The 25,967-nt window shown below is 42.9% G+C and overlaps 1 protein-coding gene and 2 long non-coding RNA genes across 5 annotated transcripts in view; 2 read left to right on the forward strand and 1 right to left on the reverse strand.

Annotated features, from left to right (window-relative positions):
- Nucleotides 1-17,285, forward strand: part of SH2D4B (SH2 domain containing 4B) — a 108,659-nt gene extending 91,374 nt beyond the window's left edge. For 2 of the 3 annotated variants that reach the window (NM_207372.2, NM_001145719.1), the window contains exon 7: nucleotides 14,718-17,285. In NM_207372.2, coding sequence (NP_997255.2) covers nucleotides 14,718-14,806 — 89 coding nt within the window. In that variant the 3' untranslated portion in view covers nucleotides 14,807-17,285. Of the gene's footprint in view, nucleotides 1-5,009; nucleotides 5,231-14,717 lie in introns of all 3 variants that reach the window. The other variant, NM_001388272.1, reaches the window with a different exon arrangement.
- Nucleotides 411-20,068, reverse strand: LOC105378387 (uncharacterized). Its single transcript, XR_946132.1, has 2 exons — nucleotides 19,844-20,068; nucleotides 411-818 (listed from the first exon to the last, which is right to left on the reverse strand). It is a non-coding gene; the product is annotated as an uncharacterized LOC105378387 (long non-coding RNA).
- A 453-nt stretch (nucleotides 20,069-20,521) lies between these two features.
- On the forward strand, nucleotides 20,522-24,459 carry LINC02655 (long intergenic non-protein coding RNA 2655). Its single transcript, NR_155749.1, has 3 exons — nucleotides 20,522-20,573; nucleotides 22,632-22,706; nucleotides 24,215-24,459. It is a non-coding gene; the product is annotated as a long intergenic non-protein coding RNA 2655 (long non-coding RNA).
- Nucleotides 24,460-25,967: the final 1,508 nt, after the last annotated feature.

Below are 25,967 nucleotides of genomic sequence, written 5' to 3' on the forward strand. Positions count from 1 at the left end.
TTTAAACAACCAGATCTCACAAGAACTCACTCACTATCCTGAGGATGGCATCAAGGAGATGGTGCTAAACCATTTGTGAGAAATCACCTCCCACTAGCCCTACCTCCAACACTGCAGATGATAATTCAACATGAGATTTAGAGGGGACACACATCCAAACTATATCAGCAATATCAAAAAGGAGGCAGAATTCACAGAGACCTAGACAGTCTCCCAGAAATGGCCCAGCTAAGTTTATGGTGCTGAAGTCACCTTCAGCAGCCTATGTTTGAGAGAATTGAGTGTGTGTGTGTCAGGGGTTGTGGTGGGGGACACAGCCTGACAGTCCTGTGACCATTGCAGCTACCAGCACCAGGCAGTTTGCAGCACTAACACATGTGTAGAATACTTAGTGCATCCAATGCAGCTAGTTATATTGTATTAGATATTTATTGTGATTTTTAAGCACTGTGCTAAACGTATTCATGCATTAACTTATTCATTCTCAAACAGCCGTAAGACATAGCTATTAATATCAATACCACTTAATAGATGAGGACCTCAAACTCGGTTTCAGAGAGGTTGAAGTCACCTGCTCTCAAGGCTACCCATGGAACAAGTCCCGGGTTATGATTTGTGTCCATGCTCTTCATCACTGCTGCAGAATCCCTGCCAATGTCCCAGGCATGGAGGATGTAAAGATGAGTTGTCTGTGTCCGTCAGGTCTTCCATGAAGCAGAAGACGAAAGACTGATTGGAGGAAATGCCTGTGAAGGACAAAGGGGGAGGGTGCTGGAGAAGGTGGGGAGAGTCTTCAGAACACGGTACACATCTGACACCTGTGGAGGGAGAGAGGGAAGAAGGATGATTGGTAAGTGAGCCTGCTCCTGGAGTACAGCTCAGAGAAAAATCTTGGCCAGGCTGATTGAGAGCCCCAGAGCAAAGACTGCCTGCTAGAGGAATCTTGCTTTGGGTAGGAATGGTGGCTCTAGTACCCCTGTGCCCTGCCCTTGACTGGAAGCACCCTAGGGAGAACATGACCCCATGGAGGATCCTGAAGGGCATGATGCTGCTCCCAGCAACAGGTCTCTGTCTTGGAGGGAGGCCTGGGCTGCTTGCTCCCATGGCAGCCACAGGCCCCAGCCTTGAGCGGCTCATAGCCTATTTACTAATCTACTGTGGGGTTTTGGCAGGATGTTGTGAAAACCCAAATGTGGGATATCCAAGACAGTCTCCTGGGAGATAAAGGATTTCCTGATCAGCTGAGCAGGTTGCACACTGAACTGGGGGACCTGAGGGGTGGGGATAGTTGGGGAGAACAGAGGATTGATGTGCAGGCACTGCCTTTCCCAATCAAGCTATAGGCTTTGTGGTTTTGGCCCAGAGAGGCACATTTTTCTAATTCAGTTACTCAGGTCATCTTTTCCTAACTTGCACAAAGGTAGAGTGTAGGCTGCCCATAGCCCATGATTCTGGGGAGAGAAGAGGATGGGGCTTTCAATGAGGAGTCAGGGTCAGCTGGAGTGAAGGGGGCTGGGATGTGGCCTCAGTCCAAGGTCGGCTTGTGGGGAGCAGCCAGTACCAAACAGTGCGATGAGCCCAGAGGGGTAGGTTGAGGCGGGGCATAGAGCCTGCTGTCTGCTGTGCCTGAGCCTGGGCTCTGCTGGAAGTCAGGGGAAGCTGCTCAAGGGTTTTAGGTGGGTGAGACACATAACATCGTCACTTTGGTATTACTGGTCGTTTTGGCATGTTAAAAGTCAAGTCCACAAAATAACGTGTTGGCAAGTGTTGGAGGAAAGAGACCCCTTGCACATTCTCTTAAAGCATGAAAATACAAATTAAAATAGAAGTACCCCATAATCTCAGCAACCCCATTACTGGGTATTTATTCAAAGGATATGAAATCAGTATGTCGAAGAGATATCTATACTGCCATGTTGATTGTAGCATTATTCACAATAGCCAAGATAGGGAATCAATGGAAGTGTTTGTTTATTTATTAATGTATTTTTGAAATAGAGCCTTGCTCTGTTTTCCAGGCTAGAGTATAGTGGCATGATCATAGCTCACTGCAGCCTTGAATTCCTGGGCTCATGTGATTCTCTCACCTCAGCCTCTTGAGTAGCTGGGACCACAGGCATGTGCCACCATGCCCAACTAATTTTTTATGTTTTTGTAGATTCAGGGCCTTGCTATGTTGCCCAGGCTGGTTTTGAATTCCTGGGCTCAAGCGATCCTCCCACCTTGGCCTACTAAAGTGCTGGTATTATAGGCATGAGCCACCACACCAGGCCTAACCTAAATGTCTATTAACAGTTGAATGGATAAAGAGATGTGGTGTATGTGCACAATGGAATAGTATTTGGCCTTTAAAAAGAATGAAATCCTGTCATTTGTGACAACATGGATGAACCTAGAGGACATTATGCTAAGTGAAATAAGTCAGGCACAGAAAGACAAATACCTCATGATCTCACTTATATGTGGAATCTAAAAACATTGAACTTACAGAAGCAGAAAGTGGAATGGTGGTTACCGGGGCTGGGAGAGGCAGGCACTGGGGAGATGTTGGTCAAAGGACATAACATTTCATTTAGACAGGAGGAATAAGTTCAAGAGATCTATTGTACAGCTTGGTAACTACAATTAATGATATATTATATACTTGAAAATTGCCAAGAGAGTTTTTGTTTGTTTGTTTGAGACGGGGTCTTGCTCTGTCACCCAGGCTAGAGTATGGTAGCATGATCACACATCACTGCAGCCTTGAACTTCTGGGCACAAATGATCCTCTTGCCTCGGCCTCCCAAGTGGGTGTAGCATCTTCATGCCCAAGTTATTTTTAATTTTTTTGTGGAGATAGTTGTCTCCACAAAAAGTGTGGAGACAACAACATGGGCTATGTTGCCCAGGCTGATCTTGAACTACTGGGCTCAGGTGATCCTCCCACCTCAGTCTCCCAAAGTGCTGAGATTACAGGTCTGAGCTATTATACCCAGCCAAGAGGGTAGATTTTTAAGTGTTCTTACCACAAAAAATATGTGAGGTAAAGCGTATGTTAATCTTAAGTAGATTGATTTAGCCATCCCGCAGTGCATACATATATCAAAATGTCATGTACACCATAAATATATATAATTTTTATTCATCAATGAAAAAGTAATAAACGTTACAATAAAGATACTTGTTTAAAAGAAAAAAAGTTGAATCGTATATAATTTGACTGTAGTCTCCCACCCTAGTAACACTCCCCTCCTCTCCAACCCTAGCCCCGCTACCATATCAGCTTGAGGTGCTTGGAGTGGGGATGAGGGTGACATCTTCTGGTCCCTCTTCCTCCCAGGCCCTGGCCCTGCGTCTGGCCCCCCTTACTTATCTCCCTGCTGCAGCCTCTTTTAGGGCCCGGGTGTTCTGGTGTTGGGGCAGGGAGGTAGGTGAAGGACAGTGCCAACTTTTGAGGGATCCTGGACTTTCCCTTCCGGTCCTCTTTTGTCTGTCCCTACTTTTTTGCATGAAGCCCCCAAGGCCTTCTGGGGGGAAGCAGCGGGGTGCATCCTCCCTCTTGCATGGGCCAGTGTTTATTTTTCAGGTGTCCTGTGGCGAAAGGGCTCCTCACTTCCTTCCTTGTCTTACTCTTCTTCCTTTTCTGCTTGTAGAGCTTGGCTGGGGAGGGGTGGCTGGCTTGGATGCCTCTTGCTGTAAATCCTGGGCAAGGAGGAAATAGGTGGCCCCTGGTTGCGCCAATTGTCTTTAAAGGGTGCAGCATTTGGCAGTGTGGTTGCCTCTGTGTCCTATGCCTTGGGCACAAGGGAAGTCTCGAGTGTGCCCTGGGAGGCAGGAGAGTGATGGGAGGGGAGCCTGACTGCGGCTCGCTCGGGAGTGGCTTCGGGGATTGGGGAGAAGTCACAGGTGTGCTGAGCCTCTCAGGGTCATGGAGATGGGCAGCCCAGCCACTCTGTCCCCATGCCTGTCACTGATAGTGTGGAAAGGGTAAGTCCATGGGTGAGCAAAGGGACAATGTGTTGCAATTCACCTCTCCTCCAGAATAACAGATGCTAACAGGATCCAGCATCTCCACAGCTATTCTCTATGTATGAAATGAGTTTGAATACTTTATTCAACTTGAAAGTCATAACATACCTTCTAAGTATTTGGGTTATGATCATCTAAATGTCAAAGGACACTGGAGACCTTGAGGGCTTGGCTGGAAATTCCATAGCCAGGTTGGCAGAGGTCGGGGGTGGGGGTAATCCAGGTCTTCTGGCTTCCCCTCCTCTTCCCACCTACTTGCCTCTGGAACCTGTTCTACATCACGCCTCCTATATCACCCAGATGACAGCGGCTTCCTGAGAGCATTTCAGGGGATTGCTACCAGCATATCAACGACTCCAAGGCCAACCAGAATTCCAAATTGTGATGAAACTGCATTGTGTAGGAGTGCAAGTCCTTAGAAAGTTTTGATCTCTGAGCTGAAGTGAAGCTTGATTCTATGCCCCTATTAAGAAACTTTTTGCCTGGTGTCCACAGGTATTTGGAAGAAGTCTTTTTACTTTTTAAGGGAAACCCCTATTTTTAGGTGCTTATTTATGGTACTAGAGAAATAAGTGAGTTAGTCATCAGCAGCCATTCTGGACTAGTCTTTAAAGCAGGCCTCTTAAGGCTTTTCACAAGCCTGTTGACTTATATTTATAATCAATAATGCTATAATCACAGCTCACTACTAATTCCTTGCTTACCCAATTAATCCAAATCACCCTGGCTCAATGTGGAGGAAAGCATGCTCAACTCACGTCCTAGTAGAAACTCTGCCCCCAGGCTCACGGCGGGTGGCGCTGGGCCAAGATGCCCTCTCTGTGGAAGGAGGCATGTGCTTGGCCAGCCCTTGGGGCTCTTTCCTTCCTGCCACCCTGGACTGTGTGGATGGCATGTGCACTGAGCCACAGGGTGAGGGGCAGGGAGGAGTGGAGAATCGTGGGGGAGGCAGTCGCAGAACCTGCTGTGTTTTTTTGTTTTTTTCTATTTTAAATCAGGAATTATTAGCCGAGAAGATGCAGAAGCTCTCCTGGAGAACATGACTGAGGGAGCATTCCTGGTCCGGGTCAGTGAGAAAATCTGGGGTTACACCCTCTCCTACCGCCTGCAGAAAGGGTTCAAACACTTTCTTGTGGATGCTTCTGGGGATTTTTACAGCTTCCTGGGAGTGGACCCCAATCGCCATGCAACGCTCACGGATCTCGTTGATTTCCATAAGGTATCCCTCACAGGGATACTAATGGGGGGGAGGGGGAACTGGTGGAAATTGGAGCTGAAGAGAGAGCTAGAGCAAGAGAAGCAAGGCTGCTGGCTCTGGGCAGTGGGGCTGGAGGGTCTCAGAGATGTAGAGCATCAGGGCAGAAGAGACCAGAGGTTGTCCACACGGGGCCCGAGGGCCCACTGTTCTGCTCTCTGCTTCACTCTCTGGGGCATGCGGGCACCTCTCACCCTGGTCCTCAGGCCTCTTCTCACCTTGGGTACCTGAGTGCTCCCTCCTGTTAACACAAGGACTGGATGATCATCCCTTTCTCCAAGCCTGGGTCTCATCTCCAACTCATTCCCAAGAACGTCTCTCATGAGGACCTCCAAGCCAGACCTCTAGCAGCTTCTGAGAGTTAGCTGAAGTGCAGTAGGCAACCCTGTGATTAGAGAAGCTTTTCTAGTGGTGGAGTTACCATGTCTCTTATTTGAACTCCAGCTTAACCACTTAGTACATGTGTGACCTTGAGCCAGCACCTTAGTCTCACCAAACGTCAGCGTCCTAGCCAGGCAAATGGATGTGAATAATACTTAGCTCGGACCCTGTGAGCATTAAATGAAGTCAAGTACAGAGCAGCGCTTTGTGACTGTGAAGTGCTTATGGAAAGTCTTGTTTCTCAGCATTCTTTTTGTTATTTGTCCTCCTGCCATGGACCCTATATTGGAAAAGATGTTGTCTTCCAAGCAGTGTATGTAGTAAGAAGCAACGTTTATGTTCGTGTGGCCGTTGGCATCATTAGTAACTGGGAGAAAGCCAGAGGTGGAACTCAGTGACCTGGAAGGGCAGGACGAAGGATTCCGAGGGGCAGAGTGGTGGTAGCTCCGGCGTCCGACATCTAACCAAGCTTTGTGGGTGTAGATGGTTTCACAGAATGACTTGACGGTCTCACTGGGGTTTTGGTATAATAGGGACTCTTAGGTTTGTATTGCTTTCTCTTTGTCTCTTCATGGAAGTCCCTAGAAATTCAGGGACAGCCCTTGACCTTATGAATAATACACATGGAGAATCACCTATTCACAGATACTCGGGCACTGAGTGTGGAGTACTGCCTGGAAACTGGACTAACCAGGATCAAGGTTGATTTCTACGTGTTGGAAAGAGCCTTCTAACAGAGGAAAGCGAAAGGGAGGGGATGTGAGGACATTGACACATTCTCTGTGTCAAGCACTGAACCTATTGCTCTACATCCATGCTCTTATTTAATCTTACCAATAGATCTGTGAGGGAGGCATCTTTTTATTTATTTATTTTGTTCATTTTTTAAATTATACTTTAGGTTCTAGGGTACATGTGCACAACCTGCAGGTTTGTTACACAGGTATACATGTGCCATGTTAGTTTGCTGCACCCATTAACTCGTCATTTACGTTAGGTATTTCTCCTAATGCTATCACTCCCCCTTCCCCCAACCGCACAACAGGCCCCAGTGTCTGATGTTCCCTGCCCTGTGTCCAAGTGTTCTCATTGTTCACTTCCCACCTATGAGTGAGAACATGCGGTGTTTGGTTTTCTGTCCTTGTGATAGTTTGCGAGAATGATGGTTTCCAGCTTCATCCATGTCCCTGCAAAGGACAGGAACTCATCCTTTTTTATGGCTGCATAGTATTCCATGGTGTGTATGTGCCACATTTTCTTAATCTAGTCTATCATTGATGGACATTCTGGTTGGTTCCAAGTCTTTGCTATTGTGAATAGTGCTGCAATAAACATACGTGTGCATGTGTCTTTATAGTAGCATGATTTATCATCCTTTGGGTATATACTCAGTAATGGGATCGCTGGGTCAAATGGTATTTCTAGTTCTAGATCCCTGAGGAATCGCCACACTGTTTTCAACAAAGGTTGAACTAGTTTACAGTCCCACCAACAGTGTAAAAGTGTTCCTATTTCTCCACATCCTCTCCAGCATCTGTTGTTTCATGACTTTTTAATGATCACCATTCTAACTGGCATGAGATGGTATCTCATTGTGGTTTTGATTTGCATTTCTCTGATGACCAGTGATGATGAGCATTTTTTCATGTGTCTGTTGGCTGCATAGATGTCTTCTTTTGAGAAATGTCTGTTCATATCCTTTGCCCAATTTTTGATGGGATTGTTTGTTTTTTTTCTTGTAAATTTGTTTAAGTTCTCTGTAGATTCTGGATATTAGCCCTTTGTCAGATGGGTAGATTGCAAAAATTTTCTCCCTTGCCTGTTCACTCTGATGGTAGTTTCTTTTGCTGTGCAGAAGCTCTTTAGTTCGATAGATCCCATTTTTCTATTTTGGCTTTTGTTGCCATTGCTTTTGTTGTTTTAGTCATGAAGTCCTTGCCCATGCCTATGTCCTGAATGGTATTGCCTAGGTTTTCTTCTAGGGTTTTTATGGTTTTAGGTCTAATGTTTAAGTCTTTAATCCATCTTGAATTAATTTTTGTATAAGGTATAAGGAAGGGATCCAGTTTCAGCTTTCTACTTATGGCTAACCAGTTTTCCCAGCACCATTTATTAAATAGGGAATCTTTTCCCCATTTCTTGTTTTTGTCAGGTTTGTCAAAGATCAGATGGTTGTAGATATGTGGTGTTATTTCTGAGGCCTCTGTTCTGTTCCATTGGTCTATATCTCTGTTTTGGTACCAGTACCATGCTGTTTTGGTTACTGTAGCCTTGTTGTATAGTTTGAAGTCAGGTAGTGTGATGCCTCCAGCTTTGTTCTTTTGCTTAGGATTGTCTTGGCAATGCAGGCTCTTTTTTGGTTCCATATGAACTTTAAAGTGGTTTTTTCCAATTCTGTGAAGAAAGTCATTGGTAGTTTGATGGGGATGGCATTGAATCTATAAATTACCTTGGGCAGTATGGCCATTTTCATGATATTGATTCTTTCTATCCATGAGCATGGAATGTTCTTCCATTTGTGTCCTCTTTTATTTCGTTGAGCAGTGGTTTTGAGTTCTCCATGAAGAGGTCCTTCACATCCCTTGTAAATTGGATTCCTAGATATTTTATTCTCTTTGTACCAATTATGAATGGGAGTTCACTCATGATTTGGCTCTCTGTTTTGTCTGTTATTGGTGTATAGGAATGCTTGTGATTTTTGCACATTGATTTTGTATCCTGAGACTTTGCTGAAGTTGCTTATCAGCTTAAGGAGATTTTGGGCTGAGATGATGGGGTTTTCTAAATATACAGTCATGTCATCTGCAAACAGGAACAATTTGACTTCCTCTTTTCCTAATTGAATACCCTTTATTTCTTTCTCCTGCCTGATTGCCCTGGCCAGAACTTCCAACACTATATTGAATTGTAGTGGTGAGAGAGGGCATCCCTGTTTTGTGCCAGTTTTTAAAGGGAATGCTTCCAGTTTTTGCCCATTCAGTATGATATTGGCTGTGGGTTTGTCATAAATAGCTCTTATTATTTTGAGATATGTTCCATCAGTACCTAGTTTATTGAGAGTTTTTAGCATGAAGGGCTGCTGAATTTTGTCAAAGGCCTTTTCTGCATCTATTGTGATAATCATGTGGTTTTTGTCATTGGTTCTGTTTATGTGATGGATTCCATTTATTGATTTGCGTATGTTGAACCAGCCTTGCATCCCAGGGATGAAGCTGACTTGATCGTGGTGGATAAGCTTTTTGATGTGCTGCTGGATTCAGTTTGCCAGTATTTTATTGAGGATTTTCCCATCGATGTTCATCAGGGATATTGGTCTAAAATTCTCTTTTTTTGTTGTGTCTCTGCCAGGCTTTGGTATCAGGATGACGTTGGCCTCATAAAATGAGTTAGAGAGGATTCCCTCTTTTTCTGCTGATTGGAATAATTTCAGAAGGAATGGAACCAGCTCCTCGTTGTACCTCTGGTAGAATTTAGCTGTGAATCCGTGTGGTCCTGGACTTTTTTTGGTTGGTAGTCTATTAATTATTGCCTCAATTTCAGAGCCTGTTATTGGTCTATTCAGTGATTCAACTTCTTCCTGGTTTAGTCTTGGGAGGGTGTATGTGTCTAGGAATTTATCCATTTCTTCTAGATTTTCTAGTTTATTTGCCTAGAGGTGTTTATAGTATTCTCTGACGGTAGTTTGTATTTCTGTTGGATCGGTGGTGATATCCCCTTTATCATTTTTTATTGCGTCTATTTGATTATTCTCTCTTTTCTTCTTTATTAGTCCTGCTAGTGGTCTATCAATTTTGTCGATCTTTTCAAAAAACCAGCTCCTGGATTCATTGATTTTTTGAAGGGTTTTTTGTGTGTCTATCTCCTTCAGTTCTGCTCTGATCTTAGTTATTTCTTGCCTTCTGCTAGCTTTTGAATTTGTTTGCTCTTGCTTCTCTAGTTCTTTTAGTTGTGATGTTAGGGTGTTGATTTAGATCTTTCCTGCTTTCTCTTGTGGGCATTTAGTGCTATAAATTTCCCTCTACACACTGCTTTAAATGTGTCCCAGAGATTCTGGTACGTTGTGTCTTTGTTCTCATTGGTTTCAAAGAACAACTTTATTTCTGCCTTCTTTTCGTTATGTACCCAGTAGTCATTCAGGAGCAGGTTGTTCAGTTTCCATGTAGTTGTGCAGTTTTGAGTGAGTTTCTTAGTCTTGAGTTCTAATTTGATTGCACTGTGGTCTGAGAGACAGTTTGTTGTGATTTCTGTTCTTTTACATTTGCTGAGGAGTGCTTTACTTCCAACTGTGTGGTCAATTTTGGAATAAGTGCAATGTGGTGCTGAGAAGAATGTATATTCTGTTGATTTGGGATGGAGAGTTCTGTAGATGTCTATTAGGCCTGCTTGGTGCAGAGCTGAGTTCAAGTCCTGGATATCCTTATTAACCTTCTGTCTCATTGGTCTGTCTAATATTGACAGGGGGTGTTAAAGTCTCCCATTATTATTGTGTGGGAGTCTAAGTCTCTTTGTAGGTCTCTAAGGACTTGCTTTATCTGGGTGCTCCTGTATTGGGTGCATATAAATTTAGGATAGTTAGCTCTTCTTGTTGAATTGATCCCTTTACCATTATGTAATGGCCTTCTTTGTCTCTTTTGATCTTTGTTGGTTTAAAGTCTGTTTTATCAGAGACTAGGATTGCAACCCCTGCTTTTTTTGCTTTCCATTTGCTTGGTAGATCGTCCTTCATCTCTTTATTTTGAGCCTATGTGTGTCTCTGCATGTGAGATGGGTCTCCTGAATACAGCACACTGATGGGTCTTGATCTTTATCCAATTTGCCAGTCTGTGTCTTTTAATTGGGGCATTTAGTCCATTTACATTTAAGGTTAATATTGTTATGTGTGAATTTGATCCTGTCATTATGATGTTCGCTGGTTATTTGGTTATTTTGCCTGTTAGTTGATGCAGTTTCTTCGTAGCATCGATGGTCTTTATAATTAGGGATGTTTTTGCAGTGGTCAGTACTGGTTGTTCCTTTCCATGTTTAGTGCTTCCTTCAGGAGCTCTTTTAGGGCAGGCCTGGTGGTGACAAAATCTCTCAGCATTTGCTTGTGTGTAAAGTATTTTATTTCTCCTTCATTTATGAAGCTTAGTTTGGCTGGATATGCAATTCTGGGTTGAAAATTCTTTTGTTTAAGAATGTTGAATATTGGCCCCCACTCTCTTCTGGCTTATAGAGTTTCTGCCTAGAGATCAGCTGTTAGTCTGATGGGCTTCCCTTTGAGGTTAACCCGACCTTTCTCTCCCGCTGCCCTTAACATTTTTTCCTTCATTTCAACCTTGGTGAATCTGACAATTATGTGTCTTGGGGTTGCTCTTCACGAGGAGTATCTTTGTGGTGTTCTCTGTATTTCTTGAATTTGAATGTTGGCCTGCCTTGCTAGGTTGGGGAAGTTCTCCTGGATAATATCCTGAAGAGTGTTTTCCAACTTGGTTCCATTCTCCTCGTCACTTTCAGGCACACCAATCAGACGTAGATTTGGTCTTCTCACATAATCCCATATTTCTTGGAGGCTTTGTTCGGTTCTTTTTACTCTTTTTTCTCTAAATTTCTCTTCTCGCTTTATTTCATTAATTTGATCTTCAATCACTGATACCCTTTCTTCCACTTGATCAAATTGGCTATTGAAGCTTGTGCATGCATCACACAGTTCTCATGCCATGAGTTTCAGCTCCATCAGGTCATTTAAGGTTTTCTCTACACTGTTTATTCTAGTTAGCCATTTGTCTAATCTTTTTTCAAGGTTTTTAGCTTCCTTGCGATGGGTTCAAACATCCTCCTTTAGCTCGGGGAAATTTATTATTACTGACCTTCTGAAGCCTACTTCTGTCAACTCGTCAAAGTCATTCTTCCTCCAGCTTTGTTCTGTTGCTGCTGAGGAGCTGCGATCCTTTAGAGGAGAAGAGGCGCTCTGGTTTTTAGAATTTTCAGCTTTTCTGCTCTGGTTTCTCCCCATCTTTGTGGTTTTATCTACCTTTGGTTGCAATATTGGTGACCTACAGATGGGGTTTTGGTGTGGATGTCCTTTTTGTTGATGTTGATGCTATTCCTTTCTGTTTGTTAGTTTTCCTTCTAACAGTCAGGTCCCTCAGCTGCAGGTCTGTTGGAGTTTGCTGGAGGTCCACTCCAGACCCTCTTTGCCTGGGTATCACCAGCAGAGGCTGCAGAATGGCAAATATTGCTGCCTGATCCTTCCTCTCGAAGTTTCATCCCAGAGGGCCACCTGCCTGTATGAGGTGTCAGTCAGCCCCTACTGGGAGGTGTCTTCCAGTTAGGCTACACAGGGGTCAGGTATCCACTTGAGGAGGCAGTCTGTCTGTTCTCAGAGCTCAAACACCATGCTGGGAGAACCACTGCTCTCTTCAGAGCTGTCAGACAGGGACGTTTAAGTGCAGAAGTTTCTGCTGCCATTTGTTCAGCTATGCCCTGCTCACAGAGGTGGAGTCTACAGAGGCAGCAGGCCTTGCTGAGCTGTGGTGGGCTCCACCCAGTTCGAGCTTCCCCATCCACTTTGTTTACCTACTCAAGCCCAGCAATGGCAGACGCCTGAGGGAGGCATCTTAACCCCATTTCACAGATTAGGAAACCAGGGCTAAGTTTTCATGGTTAGGACCAAGAGTTAAGCCTCAGGCTGTTTGCCTCTAAAGAATGTACTTTTTCCACTAAACCATATTGTTTGCTTTTCCTGTATAATAGAAGCTGCTTTAGCAATGATGAGCTCCTTGTCCCTGGAAGTGTTTCAAGCAAAGGATAAATGCTCCTCACTCAGGACAGATTCCAGAGAAAGGCTAGACCAGAGATCTCTGAAGATCTTTATTCTCTTCCACATCAAAACCTTTGAGACTCACAGTTTCATTTCTAACACTAAGGAGAGATATCATTTATGCCAATGTGGAGATCTGGTGGCCAACTTCTATCAATTAAAATTTTAATTACACAATTAGTTCATGATTACATTCTAAGAAAAATCAAATACAATACAAAGTGAAAGCCTCATTCATTTCAAGTCTCTATTTCTGTCCTCTACTTTGATTATCAATTTGCCATGTATCTTATCTAAGTATCTCCTGAGCAGTAACATAAAAACTTATGTATATAAGGAAATATATAGTTTTGTTATTTTCCACATAAGTTGGGTAGTCTTTTTTGAGACAAGGTCTTACTCTGTTGCTTAGGCTGGAGTGCAGTGGTGCGATCATAGCTCACTGTAACCTCAAGATCCTGGGCTCAAGTGATCCTCCCACCTCAGCATCCCTAGTAGCTGGGACTACAGGCATGCACCACCACACCCAGCCCAAGTTGCATATTTCCTTACATATAAATGAGTGACTTGATTTTTTAACATGCTTACTAAATAATTGAATGCAGTTTTAAAAAGCATGGTCCCTAGAATGAGGCTGCTGAGTTTTAAATTCTAACTTATGTGTTTGACTTTGGACGACTATTTAGGTTTTGCACCTTAGTTTCCACCTTAGTAAAGTGGGTTTAATAGTAGCACTCAACTCTTCAGGTCACTGTAAGGTTTTAATGAAACATCACTGTGTGAAGTGCTGAAACAATATACCTGACACTTGTAATTTCAGGACATGCTGGCTGTCATTCAGATATATCTATGAGCTCTTCCTATGTTAATCCGTATACCAAACCTTGTAAATGCCATGTGGAATTCCATGGTATGGATGCATATTACAGTTTAATTACCCATTCTCCTTTTGATGGACACTTATCTGGCTTCCGATTTTTCATGATCTTGAACAGTGCTGTAGAGACTTCCCTGTGTGTCACTATGGATACATGTGCAGTATTTCTCTAGGATGGGTCCTGGAACTGGAATTGCTGGAGAGAAGAGTATGCACATTTTAATTAGAAAAGATCTGCCAGATTGCCCTCCAAAAATATGGTGCCAGTTCAGTCTCCTGCCAAAACTATATGCGGCTGTTTCCCCGCACTGCTGCCAACACTGGGGCCTATCAATCATTTCATTTTTCTCCATCAGATGGGCAGACAATCTACTGTGGTTTAGTTTGCATTTGTCTGATTACCACTGATGCTGAGGATCTTTTCACACGTTTCACGGCCACTTGGATTTCTTCTGTGAATCATCCTTTCGTATTCTTTGTCCATTTTTCCATTAGGATGTGTCTTTCTTTTTGATGTGACATTTCTTTCAGCTGCTGAATTGCTTTTTAGTTATGAGCATTCTGCTTTTCAGTTCTTCTACTGAAATTTTTTCCTTTTAATTTAAATGGTCATGCTTTTGGTTTCCAGGTTCTTTAAGTGGTTCTTTTTTTTTTTTTAAATAATGCCCATTCTCGTTTCATGGATGACTTATTTCTTATTCCGCTGAGGAGAGATTAATGCACATCTCTTAAAGCCTCTTCTGTTTGCTTTATAGACTTGATATTTTCCTGGAAATCATTTCTATTGTTGAGTTCAGCCTCTTTCTTTTATGGTTATAATTTTGCTTAAATGCCTATAAATTTTAGGCTATGAAGCGATCTTCCAACTTTAAATTTTCTGTCTATCATGAGTGGATACAGTCTTGTTTCCCAAATTCAGTGTCTTCATGCTGTAGGGGTTGGAGTTGACCGTGAGTGGCTCATCTTTTGGGCGTGGGACTGTCTGAACTTTTTGGGTCTCTTGGGGCTTCCAAGGAACCGTGTGCGTCTCCTCATTCCCCGACCTGCTTGAGGCAAACACCTACTGGAGTCCCTCAACTCTTCCTCGGCTTGCTGTAACTGGTGTCCCACATTGACTCCTCTGACAAGCCCCTCCTGCATGTCTTTTGTTTTTCAGGGATTCTTGAATATGTTTCACTTTGTCGATGACAAAGTTTTTTTTTTTCCAGTACTTTTTATGAATTTATTTCTTTTTAAAGGCAGCTCTTTTTTCCTGTCATTTCTAGAAATCTGAATGAGAGGAGACAAATGCATATTCTTAGTTTCTCTGTCTTGAACCACTCTCTCTCTCTCATAGATGTGTATTTCCCTGTCTTGATTATAAGTGGATTTTCCTTTTTTTTCTGTTTTAGGAGGAAATTATCACTGTTTCAGGAGGAGAGTTACTTCAGGAACCCTGCGGACAGAGGGACAGCCCACCAGACTACCATCTGTTGTTTGAATAATTTTTTTCCTTATCAATTGGATTCATTTTGGTATCCTGTTTTTGAACTCAGCTTAAGAACTTCTCATCTCAAATCCTATGGCCTTCTGGAAGATCCACCACTATCCAAAGGAAAAAGTAGATTAATATGCCTCAAGGGATATGACATCTATGGCATAGGGCTACTGGTCTCATCCCAGCGATCGGGACAGAAATTGCTAATAGCTCATGCAACTCTTTCATGAAGAGCTTAGCTATGACCTTAGAAGACAAAGCCTGTTTGTCATGGCTGCCGTAAACCGAGCTCTTACAGTGCGTGGACCATGTTTTAATAATCCAAAATAATTCCAGTGCCGAACCCTGAATTTAACATATGGTAGACATTCAGTAAATGTTTGTTGAATGAATGCATGTCTTCTAAAAGTTTTCCAACACAAATTAGCAGTGGTTTCTTGTAAATTATTTCCTACTCGCCACTCTATAAAATCATGGCAATAATAGAAGATTATGAAGGATTTCTATGGAGGACATAAATGCTGCATCTTTCATAATCTCCATTATCACCCTCATTGATATTATCATTGGAATTATCTAAGGTGAGCCCCAGTTTCCAGGGCAGCTGATTGACACCGTCCTGCCTTCCTTATTTAACCTCTTCTTTTGCCACTCGCCTCTATCTTTGAATCATATTTTGGCCTTGGTTTTGCAATGGTTTTATGTCATCCTACAGATGTCTTCAAGACCTGGGGTGAGTTATCAATGCAAGAATGGTTCTTAGAAATCTGATGAGGCCTCTGCTCTCTGGGATGTGGCCCTCTCTATGCAGGTTACTCCAATGATTAGCTCTGTCCTCATTGTCCTTTTAATTCCCTTGTCAACTTAATCTCAGTATGTTGCTTATATTAACAAGAAGACTCACGCAATAACTCCTCGATAACTCTCAGTGATGGTATCTGTTGGTGCATACTTGTGTTCCACAGTTATGGCCATATACACAGAGGTAGTATATGATGAAGAGAAGATTACAGTCTTTACAGTCAAGAAGACTTGGGTTCATATCCTAACCCTGGAACTTACTAGCATTATAATGCTTGCAGCATTGTGTTTGGTGAGAGGAAAAGAATGAATGGATTCTAGGAATGTTAGGGAACGATTTACTTTACCCGATGGCTGTATCAAACATCTATGCCCCACTTCTTCTCTTGCCTCACCTATTCCTTAGATTCTTGGTCACTTCTCTACCACAAGCCACCAGCACTATAACCAGTTTTGCGTGGGTTCTGCTCTTCCTCCCTATGTTGATCAGTGTCATGTGAGCATAAGCCAATGGTAGCTTGCCACATGCCCCATCTCCCATTGCTGCAGAGGCATAAGACAGAAGAGATGGGAAGTGAATGCCCGATGTGGTGAATCTGGGATGAATGGGAGTCATAGGCTGGTAGATCGCTTTTTCCTCCTTCTTCCTCCTGGAGGAACTATTCTGAGAGTCATCTGTTTGTATGGTCTTGTAGAAGACAGTCCTGTAAGATCGAGCAACCAGTCATGATGAAACCAAGTGGTGGCCGGATCAGTATGACACCCTGCTGCCCCCGTTTTTAATTCTTCTCTGCCTTGCCCTGCTCTCTCCTGTTGCTCTGGGATTGCACTTCTGAATGAAGTAGCAGCTCATAAGCTTTTGCCACAGGCTCTGTCTTTTGGGGAATCCAGGATAAGAACCCATTATACAGAAGTGTTCAATAATATCAATTTTGCAACTCACTCAGCTCCATGGCTTCCCCCGGTCTACCTGTCTCACTACATGCATAAAGTGAAATGATGGAAGGAATCTGCTTTCTGAACTCTAATGTGCCTTCATTGATTATCATTAAAATTATCATTAAAATTGCCTTATTTCTATGGACTCAGAGGAATGATGTTTTAGTTTTGGCTCTCTGATTTACCAACTATGTGACTTTGTCCAAGTCATTTAACTTCAGTAAACCTCGGTATGACTGAAAAGGGAGTTTTCTGTATGGCCGTCACTAGGTTTTTTTGTGGGTTAGTTAAATGATAAACATGAAAGCTCTGTCCAAATGAAAAAGGTATTTCTAACAACAACCACAATAACAATAACAACTTAGTGCTTAGCCCATGATGTATCAGGGGATATGATGTGATGATTTTCAAGGTGTTGGAGGCAACTTCTGTTCCAAGAACTCCCAGCAGCTTTGAAAGCAGACTGAGATGAGTTGAGACCCTGAATCCCTGGGCTGTTGTTCCTGTCACCCCTAATTAATATGTGAGAGACAACAGCTGGGTTTTCCATCCCTAACACATTTATTTCATTTTATTTGGGGCCTGCAATTTCTGCATGTCTCATATATTTTAGGTTTTACCTTTTTACCTGGCTTTAAAATAAATCCCTTGTAAGTTGTCCTGCAAATGAAATTACTGTCTGGAAAACTGCAATTTCATCTTGAGAGTTTTATTATGCTAATAAATGTCAGGATTCTCATATAAAGGAGTTGCCTTTTTTTTCCCTGAGCCCTACAAATATAATAAAAAACAGCTGGTCAGCTCCAAGACTCAAGAAAGGAAAAATTTACAATCTATAACTAGAAAGAGAAGTTGTAAAAAAAAAAACACTATGCAACTTAATGGAAAATAAATTTCAAGGAATGAAAGTATAACTTGGAGTACAGATTTGGGGAGATCCTTGTGTGGCAGAAGCATTTTTAGGGACCATCTAAGGGGCATGAGCTGAGAGGTTATGGAGAGTGTTCCCCGGGAGGGGAACATGGGCTTGAAGACCTGGGAGCCTGGGGCATTTGTTCCCCTTTTGTCCCTTTGATCATTATTCTCAGGACTAAATTGCGATCCTAGATGAATTTCTGTATTCTTTGGACTACAGTTTCTTATGTCAAATTAGGTGAACATTGCCTATTTCAGAGGGTGGCTGTGAAAATAACAGAAGATTTTGTTATAGTAATGACAAATACTGTTTTAAGCCGTGTGTGTGTGTGTGCATGCGCATTCATGTGTGAACTCTCACAGCCATGCTTAAGGGAGAAAATGCTACCATCTTTATCTTGTACGTAGGGAAACTGAGGCACAGAGAGGTTCAGAACATTCCCAAGGTCACTTCCTTGGGAAGCACAGGGATTGACCACAGTCACGTATCAGTCTGAGTGGACCTTAAACTGCGTAAACAAACACATGATGGTTGTTGAAAATGCAGGTTCTCCTTCAGCGGATCTGGGATTGGGCATGAGGTTCTGTATTTCTGACAAGCTCCTGGGTGTTGCTGATGCTGCCAGACTATGGTTTACACTTGGAGAAGCCAGCCTTGAAAGCAGGGGTTGGCAAATTATAGCTGCAGGCCAAATTCAGCCTGCTGCTCGTGTTTCTACAGCCTGAGAGATAAAAATGGTTTTTACATTTTTAAATGGTTGGAAAAAATTAAGAAGAAGAATATTTTATGACCTGTGAAAATTACATTAAATTCAAATTTCAGCTTCATAAATAAAGTTTTATTGGGATTCAGCCATACTTATTTGTTTACATATTGTCTTTGGCCGCATATGGCCTGTAAGGCCTTAAATATTTACTCTCTGGCCCTTTGCAGAAAAAATTATGACGCATCTGTTAGGAATTATTTTGCTTTCTTTCTCTGCTTTATCTAAATCTACTCTTTTAACACCATCGTTTATGCTTCAGAGAAATCTAAGTGAATGTATTAAATTTTCTAGTAGTGTTCCATTTTAATTTTGAATCTCATCTCATCTCTAGAAAAAGATTCTCTTCCTTGTGAAAGGATTCTAACCAAATGTAGGTGAGTAGTATCATAATTATGTAGATATTTAACATGGGCATATGATCATTTACCTTCTAGATTTATTATATTTCCTACACATAACTGTGTATGTTTTGCCTTTCAGTCTGTGAGGTCCTGGAAATCAGGTGATGCCATATTTATCTGAGTACTTTAGGGTTCCTGGAATAGTTGATAAGGAATTACATCTGTTACGTATTAGGAACAGACAGATTGTGCCCATTTCAAAGACCCACTTTAACCTTTGGGGGACCCCTATGATAGAAAAGTCCGCGGTGAGAATTCTGGCAGCTTTGGGTTTGGAATCTTGAATCTAGTACTGCTTTCAGTTGTTAAGACAAATAAACAAAACAAGCAAACAACTAAATGAGATTGAGAAAGTAAAAAACAGCTCTGCTGACAGCTAGTCTGAGATGGGCGAACTGAGAATTAAAACAGAAATCACATCTTGCAAATCTGCTCTGTGACTTGCAAAACAGTTAAACCGAGCCAAGCCACAACATACAGGAGAAAGTGTCTAAACTCAAACTCTTCTAATCAGCACATGCAGACCCGTATTTTTTAGAGAGGACATCAGACAAACTGATCTAACAGTCATTCCACATGACTTTTTAAAAAAATTGTGGTAAAGTATACATAACATAAAATTTACCATTTTAACCATTTTTAAGTATACGGTTCAGTGGCACTGAGTCCGTTCACATTGTTAAGCAACTGCCACCACCATCCATCCACAGAAAACTTTTCATCTTACAAAAATGAAACTCTGTACCCATTAAACATAACTCCCCATTCTCCCCTCCTCCAAACTCCTGGCAATCACCATTCTACTTTCTGTCTTTATGAGTTTGACTATTCTAGGTACCTCACATAAGAGGAATAATACAGAATTTGTCTTTTTTGTGTCTGGTTTATTTCACTTAGCATAATGTCTTCAAGGTTCATCCATGTGTAGCATGTGTCAGAATTTCCTTTTTAAGGCTGAATAATATTCCATAGTATGTAAATATCACATTTTATTTATCCATTCAACTGTCAATGGACACTTGGATTGGTTCTACCTTTTGGCTATTATGAATAATGTGGCTATGAACATGGGTGTACATCTCATAACTTTTGCGTTCTGTAGATAAAATTACTGACTGTTCTAGCAACTCCCTAGTTTCCAGATTCTGACCAATCCCTGCCAAGAACCTTTAACTCCAGCTCCCCAGTCTTAGTGAGTACGCTTTCCTAACTTTTACCTTTTCGCTTTCCATGATTCCTCTTGTATATGTGCTCTCTTGCTGCAACAAGCTAATAACCTCAACTTCGGCTGCGTGTGTATTGCTAGTAGGCTTTAGCTGATAGGCTTTAAGAAGACATTATCTGTGAAGCGTGCTGTCTGTAATAGACACTCAGTAAGACTCCATGCCTTCTCTTGGCTGACCATGCTGAATAGCAGCTGTGAAAGCCCTTCTGTGAGTGGAGTCTTCTGTCCATTTATATCCTCATCTCAAGATGAGCTCATGGTCTTGCTGGGCTTATGAGCTCATCCCAGGAGACTGTATGAAGTGGCGTGAGGTGATAGAGGCAGAGACATACTCAATAATGGCTGTGTCAGCTGCTCTTCTGAAGGGAACTTTCTTACCCTGGAGGCACCGAGTGTCAGAGGTCGCTCAGTCATAGGTACTCCCTAGAGAGAAGCTGAGGAGGAGGAGGCTGGGGGAGCACTCATCCCCTGTAGAATGAGGAGGCTAGCAGAGCTTGTTCATAGTGGACCTATGACCCATTTGCCAAGAGGCCTCTGCTATTTGTGGACATCTCCTCCTGCTTCCCCACCCCCCGGTAGGAGGAGACAATAGAGTATAGAAGGAAGAGTAATTCTTGGGGGTCATCAATATGAATCTGAATTTAAATGGCAAAGGAAGAAGGGAAGACGCTTCCAGGAAGAAGAAACAACTGGCATCAGCAAAGATCTGGAGTCATGAAACTGTGTGTCTATGTGTGTGTGTATGAATGTAGGCCTGAAATGGGTTTTTTTTCTTTTTCTTTTTTTTTTTCTTTTGGAGATGGAGTGTCGCTCTGTTGCCCAGGCTGGAGTGCAGTGGTTGTGACCTTGGGTCACTGCAACCTCTGCCTCCTAGGTTCAAGCGATTCTCCTGCCTCAGTCTCCTGAGTAGCTGCGATTACAGGTGCCTGCCACCACACCTGGCTAATTTTTTGTATTTTTTAGTAGCGATGGGGTTTCACCATGGTCGACAGGCTAGTCTCGAACTCCTGGCCTGAAGTGATCCACCCACCTTGGCCTCCCAAAGTGCTGGGATTACAGGTGTGAGCCAACACGCCTGGTCTGAAATGGGCTTTCTATACACTATACCCATGCCTGATTGCAGAAACTAAACATTTGCACAACCAAATTCTTCCTACGGGAGCCATTCTGTCCAGATTCTCAGCCATGAGCCAAGGGTTTTGGACACTTCTGCAACCTATGGGGCAACAGCAATTTGTACTAATAACTTGGTTATTGGCAAAAATTTAGCTTAGACCCTCCGTAACTTGGTTTGTTCCTCATCTGCCTTTTCCTGACTCTTTTAATCAGTATTGTATGTTGTTAACTACCTTTTATGTCCTTATGCTCACAAGCCTCTGGTTAATTTCCCGCTTATTCTTACATCTTCATGGGTTTTTATATTTGGCTTATTCAGATTGGTTGCAATTATTTCTTTTCATTCTGTCATTAACAATTCTTTTTTTCTTGGGCAGCTGCTGGGCAATTTGATAAGGCGGGGGAACCCAACCCCTTATGTTAGGCACATGTGTGCTTTTCAGCCTCGTATTTCTTTTTTTCTTTTTAAAAAATTTAAATATTTTTATATTTTTAAAAAATATGTATTTTTATTTTTATTTGAGACAGGGTCTAGCTCTGTTACCCAGGCTGAGGGCAGTGGCGTGATCTCAGCTCACTGCAGCCTCGACCTCCCGGGCTTAAGTGATCCTTCCACCTCAGCCTCCTGAGTAGTTTAGACTATAGGTGTGCACCACCACAACCAGCTAATTTTTGTGTTTTTTGTAGAGATGGGTTTCACCATGTTTGCCAGGCTGGGGTCGAACTCTTGAGCGAGCTCAAGCAATCTGCTTGCCTCGGCCTCCCAAAGTGCTAGGATTACAGGTGTGAGCCACTGTGCCCGACCCAGCTTCATATTTCAACTGGTAGCTGGTTGTTGAATAGAACCACAGAAAGTTATTTGGGATAATTATGCCTCTTCCCTTATTTCTAGTTTCTAATTTATGGAAAGTTGGAAAAACTTGTGGCAAAGAAAATAAACAGAACAACCAAAATATTATACCACAATTTAAAAAATTAGTATTCTAATGTATAACTAAATTCATTTAAAAAAAATCTGTGAGCTAATAGCTGAGAGTTTTACTCTAGCACACTATTTTAGGAATTAATCAGACACCTCCCTGAGTCTACCTAACAGAATATCATTTTCTGTGAACAACTGAGCAATTTGTTCAAGAGGCATGGAGTCCCTGAGCAAATGGGCCATTGGAAAACTAATTAATGATGTTCTGGTTAGAATCATTCTTAATTTTATAAGCAGATACTAACTCATAGCTGAAACAGAAATGTAAAATCATTTTCAGAACAACTTAACCTTTATTACTTAGTACCTACCGAGGGAGGAATGCTGTGTGTTAAAAGCATTTACCTGACACATATATAGAAACAATGAGGCCCAGGCTAGTGGATAGAACGCACATAGCTGTTAAAGAGAAAATGTCAGTATTCACAATGGAGATTTATGTTCTCAATTAAGCAATTCAATTATTGGTCTAAGGGAGATACCATTACTCCAAACAATTTAAAAAGCCCGTGAACATTAATTTTTAACGTATTGTACTCAAAAGTACAATGGTGACTCAAAGAGGAGAAGTTAGAGGCACATTTCATAGACCTTTGCAAGCTTCTTCTCTTGTCACTGTTTCTTTTCTTCGGGTGGAATCATTCTTCGGTTCCACTGAATAGTAATTTGTCTTTTTCCACAGACCCCCGAGGATGGCTGGGAAAAGAAGATCCAGGAACTGCTGGTGTCTGTACTAGTTACCGCCCTGATAGGAAAGGTGGGGGGCCTAAAAAAAGGGTTGCTTAAGGAGGGTTCATTTAGAAAGGTGGGGTACAGGAGAGCCACAGTGGGAAACCTAGTGACCCAGGGCTTAGTAGCACCCCAGCCTTTACCCACCTGGCCCATAACAACAAAGGAGGGAACAGTTTAGATGAGAAGAGAGACGCACACAGAGTTGGCCATTTTGGAAGGGCAGGGTGGGACTGTGTCCAGGGACAAAGCCAGCCTGAGCCAACCTTGCAGGGAGGCAGCCAGGCAATAAATAAGTAAGTACCCAAACCTCACCCTCTTCCCTCCTTCTGATCTCTGGCTGGGCTCTCATTGGCTGAAGCAGCCTAAGGCCATAGGGTTAGGAACTCTTGGCGTAATCGATACATGTCAGCAGAGAAGGAAAAACAGTACATCTTGGTGGCGGGTGGGGGGCAGGGGGCGGCGAGCTTAGTCCTATGGTGATTCTGTAAGAAATGCAAAAAACCCCAGTTGTTCCTACTCACATAGAACACATAGCACTGAACACTTGACCTCTGATCAACAAAAGGTGTGGGATATTTTTCCCCACCAACAACCAATTCTCCAGCAGACACCAGCTGGATATCCTATAATTTGATTCAGTTCTGACACTGCCTGGAATTAGAGTCAGACTCTGCAGGTTAAGGGCTCAGCCCCACAATACTGCCTCCACTGCAGAGATGCCAGTCACAAGCCCCCAGGTTGTTGCCTGTACTTCAGACCAACCAGGTATAAGTCAGGGTTTCTATGATGCTCTCCTTGGGTTGAGCTCATAGACCTCAGGGAAACGCTTCCTTACTAGTTTATCATAAAGTACTTGATGAACAGCCAAATGGAAGAGATGCACAGAGTAAGATACGTGGGAAGGGGCATGGAGATTCCCTACCCTCTCTGGGTGCTCCACCCTCCAGGTACCTCCATGTGTTCATCACTCCAGGAGCTCTTTGAACCTTGTCCTTTTGGATTTTTATGGAGGCTCCATTACATAGGCATGAATTGATTACAACATTGGCCGTTGGTGATCAACTCAATATTTAACCCCTCTCCCTCCCCAGAGGTTGAGAGGTTGGACTGAAATTTCCAACCCTCTAATCACATGGTGGGTTCTGCTGGCAACCTGCCCCCATGCTGAGGCTATCCAGGAACCCACCAAGAGTTAGAACAAAAGGTACTCCTATCATCCAGGAAATTACAAAGATCTTTGGAGCTCTGTGTCAGGAACCCTCATCAGAGACCAAATATTAGAGAAAAGATTCTCCTAGCATCACTGTCTACAAAGGTTTAGGAGCACTGTCTCAGGAACTGGGGGAAGAGACCAAACACATATTTCTTATTATATCATAATATCACAGCGTCCCAACTTGTCTTGCCAAACTTGAGTTCTCTCAGATACTCAGAAGTTGTGTCTCTGCCTATTCTCCTGTTTCATCCACCACAATCACCTTTCCAGGTCTCCTCAGAACATCAGTTAATGTGCCTCTTTCTCTTGCTTTGAAGGCAGAAGCCATAGCTCTCACCAAACCTCCAGCATTTAAACTTTGCTGTGGAGTCTACGTGACCCCACCACGAGGTGACCCTCACCTTTCCCTCCATACCTGGGGAGACAGACATGGCAGTGGTCACTGAACCCTGGGATGACACGCTACCTCATCCTTTATGACACCCTTTGATATGTTGCTTTTGATGCATTTCTTTGTATCCCATTTGGTTTCATTTTTAGCAATAAACTCATTCTTGGTACATTTCTGTTCTAGCTGTGATCATTTGAATAGTCTCTAATTAAAGGATGATTCCGTTTCTTCCAGCTTCCCCCACTCTCCCTATGGAGTGAGTAGATTCTTTACCTTTTGGTGTCTCCAAAGATGAAGTAAACAACAGACTCGTGAGATTCCTCAGAAAAGGACACAATTGAAGTCAGCACACTCTGAGCTCTCTTGTCTTGGCCTCCCTAGTGGTTTTTTAACTGAACCTGTAGTTCACGGTCCCTGCCCGAGTCCATCCAGGCTGGAAGTTGGGGCTCTGCTGCTAGGAGAACATGTAGGCTTTGGGTTTCACCTACCAGAAAGCTGTCCAGTTTCTCCATGTAGTTGTTTTATGGTTTCTGCAGAAGTAGGGGATAGCCATTCAAAATGACTGTTGTCATTTCCTAACTGGCTAATTGGAGCATGAGATGAAACTACTAAGGTGATTTTTGGCAAATTAGAAGGGAGAGGTGAACTTTAACTATAGTTGGGGTTTCAGGCTGAGTCTGATATGGCTGCATTTGAAACTTTGCAAGAACAGAAGGATAGAAAACAATTTCGCAAAGAGGTAAAATATCTTCAGTTGTCTGCTTTGTCTGTGTAGCCGGTACATTGCTGGATTACATGTCAGGTGTGAACAGGAAGATCTAAAGCAGTTTCCAGTTATACTCACATTAGAATAATCCAAACAAACAAACAAACAACAATGTTCTGACTCAAGAGATGGTGATACCATTGATATGGGGTGGGCCTCTGCATTGGTGTATTTTAAGGAAATAGGGTGTCTATGTTTCCAAGGTCAAGTGCCCTCTTCTGTGGGGCACTGGATAGTGAGAATAGGGTGATGTCTTTGTGAGGATTATGGCATTTAATCATCATAACTATGGAAGCTGTGCAAGAAATGCAATTGATTTTTGAACCCAATTTATACCAATTTCCCATTTTGATGAAAATAAAATTTGGTTATTTCAGGTTAATGTCAGCCAATTTGTTACTCCCTCTTCTTCCTAAAGTGGATTTACTTCACTGGGGGGTACTCACAACTTATCCTGGCCTGTGATGGGGCTGGCCAGGTGTCTGCCTTTCAGGAGAGGTTCTATCCTACTCACCGTCCACTGATCCTAGGGTTCTGTCCTGCTTCCCTGATGAACCCTGACAGAGGGTTCCCCCTATAGCTCTCAGCCGTAGGATTCACATAGTACCAGCCCATAGTCTTGTCGCAGCTTCAGAGCCCTCCAGGTGTGCTCTCTTTCAAAGACATCCGGGAAAGGGCTTGTCTTCTTTCTGGACTGTCTCCATCCAGATGTATAGGAACTGACTTGGGAGAACAGGTACCTTGGGTACCTCCACGTGGGCTTCGCTCCTCTGCTTTGATGTGGGGGATTTGGGAAGGCTTGCTGTCTACCCTCAGACCCCGGCCAAGCTGGGCGTGCATGCCCTTCTCAGGGCTCAGCCTGCAGGGCCCCAGGTGCAGGCTCCTTTTGGCACTGTACAGCAGAATATAACTA

Source organism: Homo sapiens, chromosome 10 (genome assembly GCF_000001405.40).
Source record: "Homo sapiens chromosome 10, GRCh38.p14 Primary Assembly".
Taxonomy (NCBI): domain Eukaryota; kingdom Metazoa; phylum Chordata; class Mammalia; order Primates; family Hominidae; genus Homo; species Homo sapiens.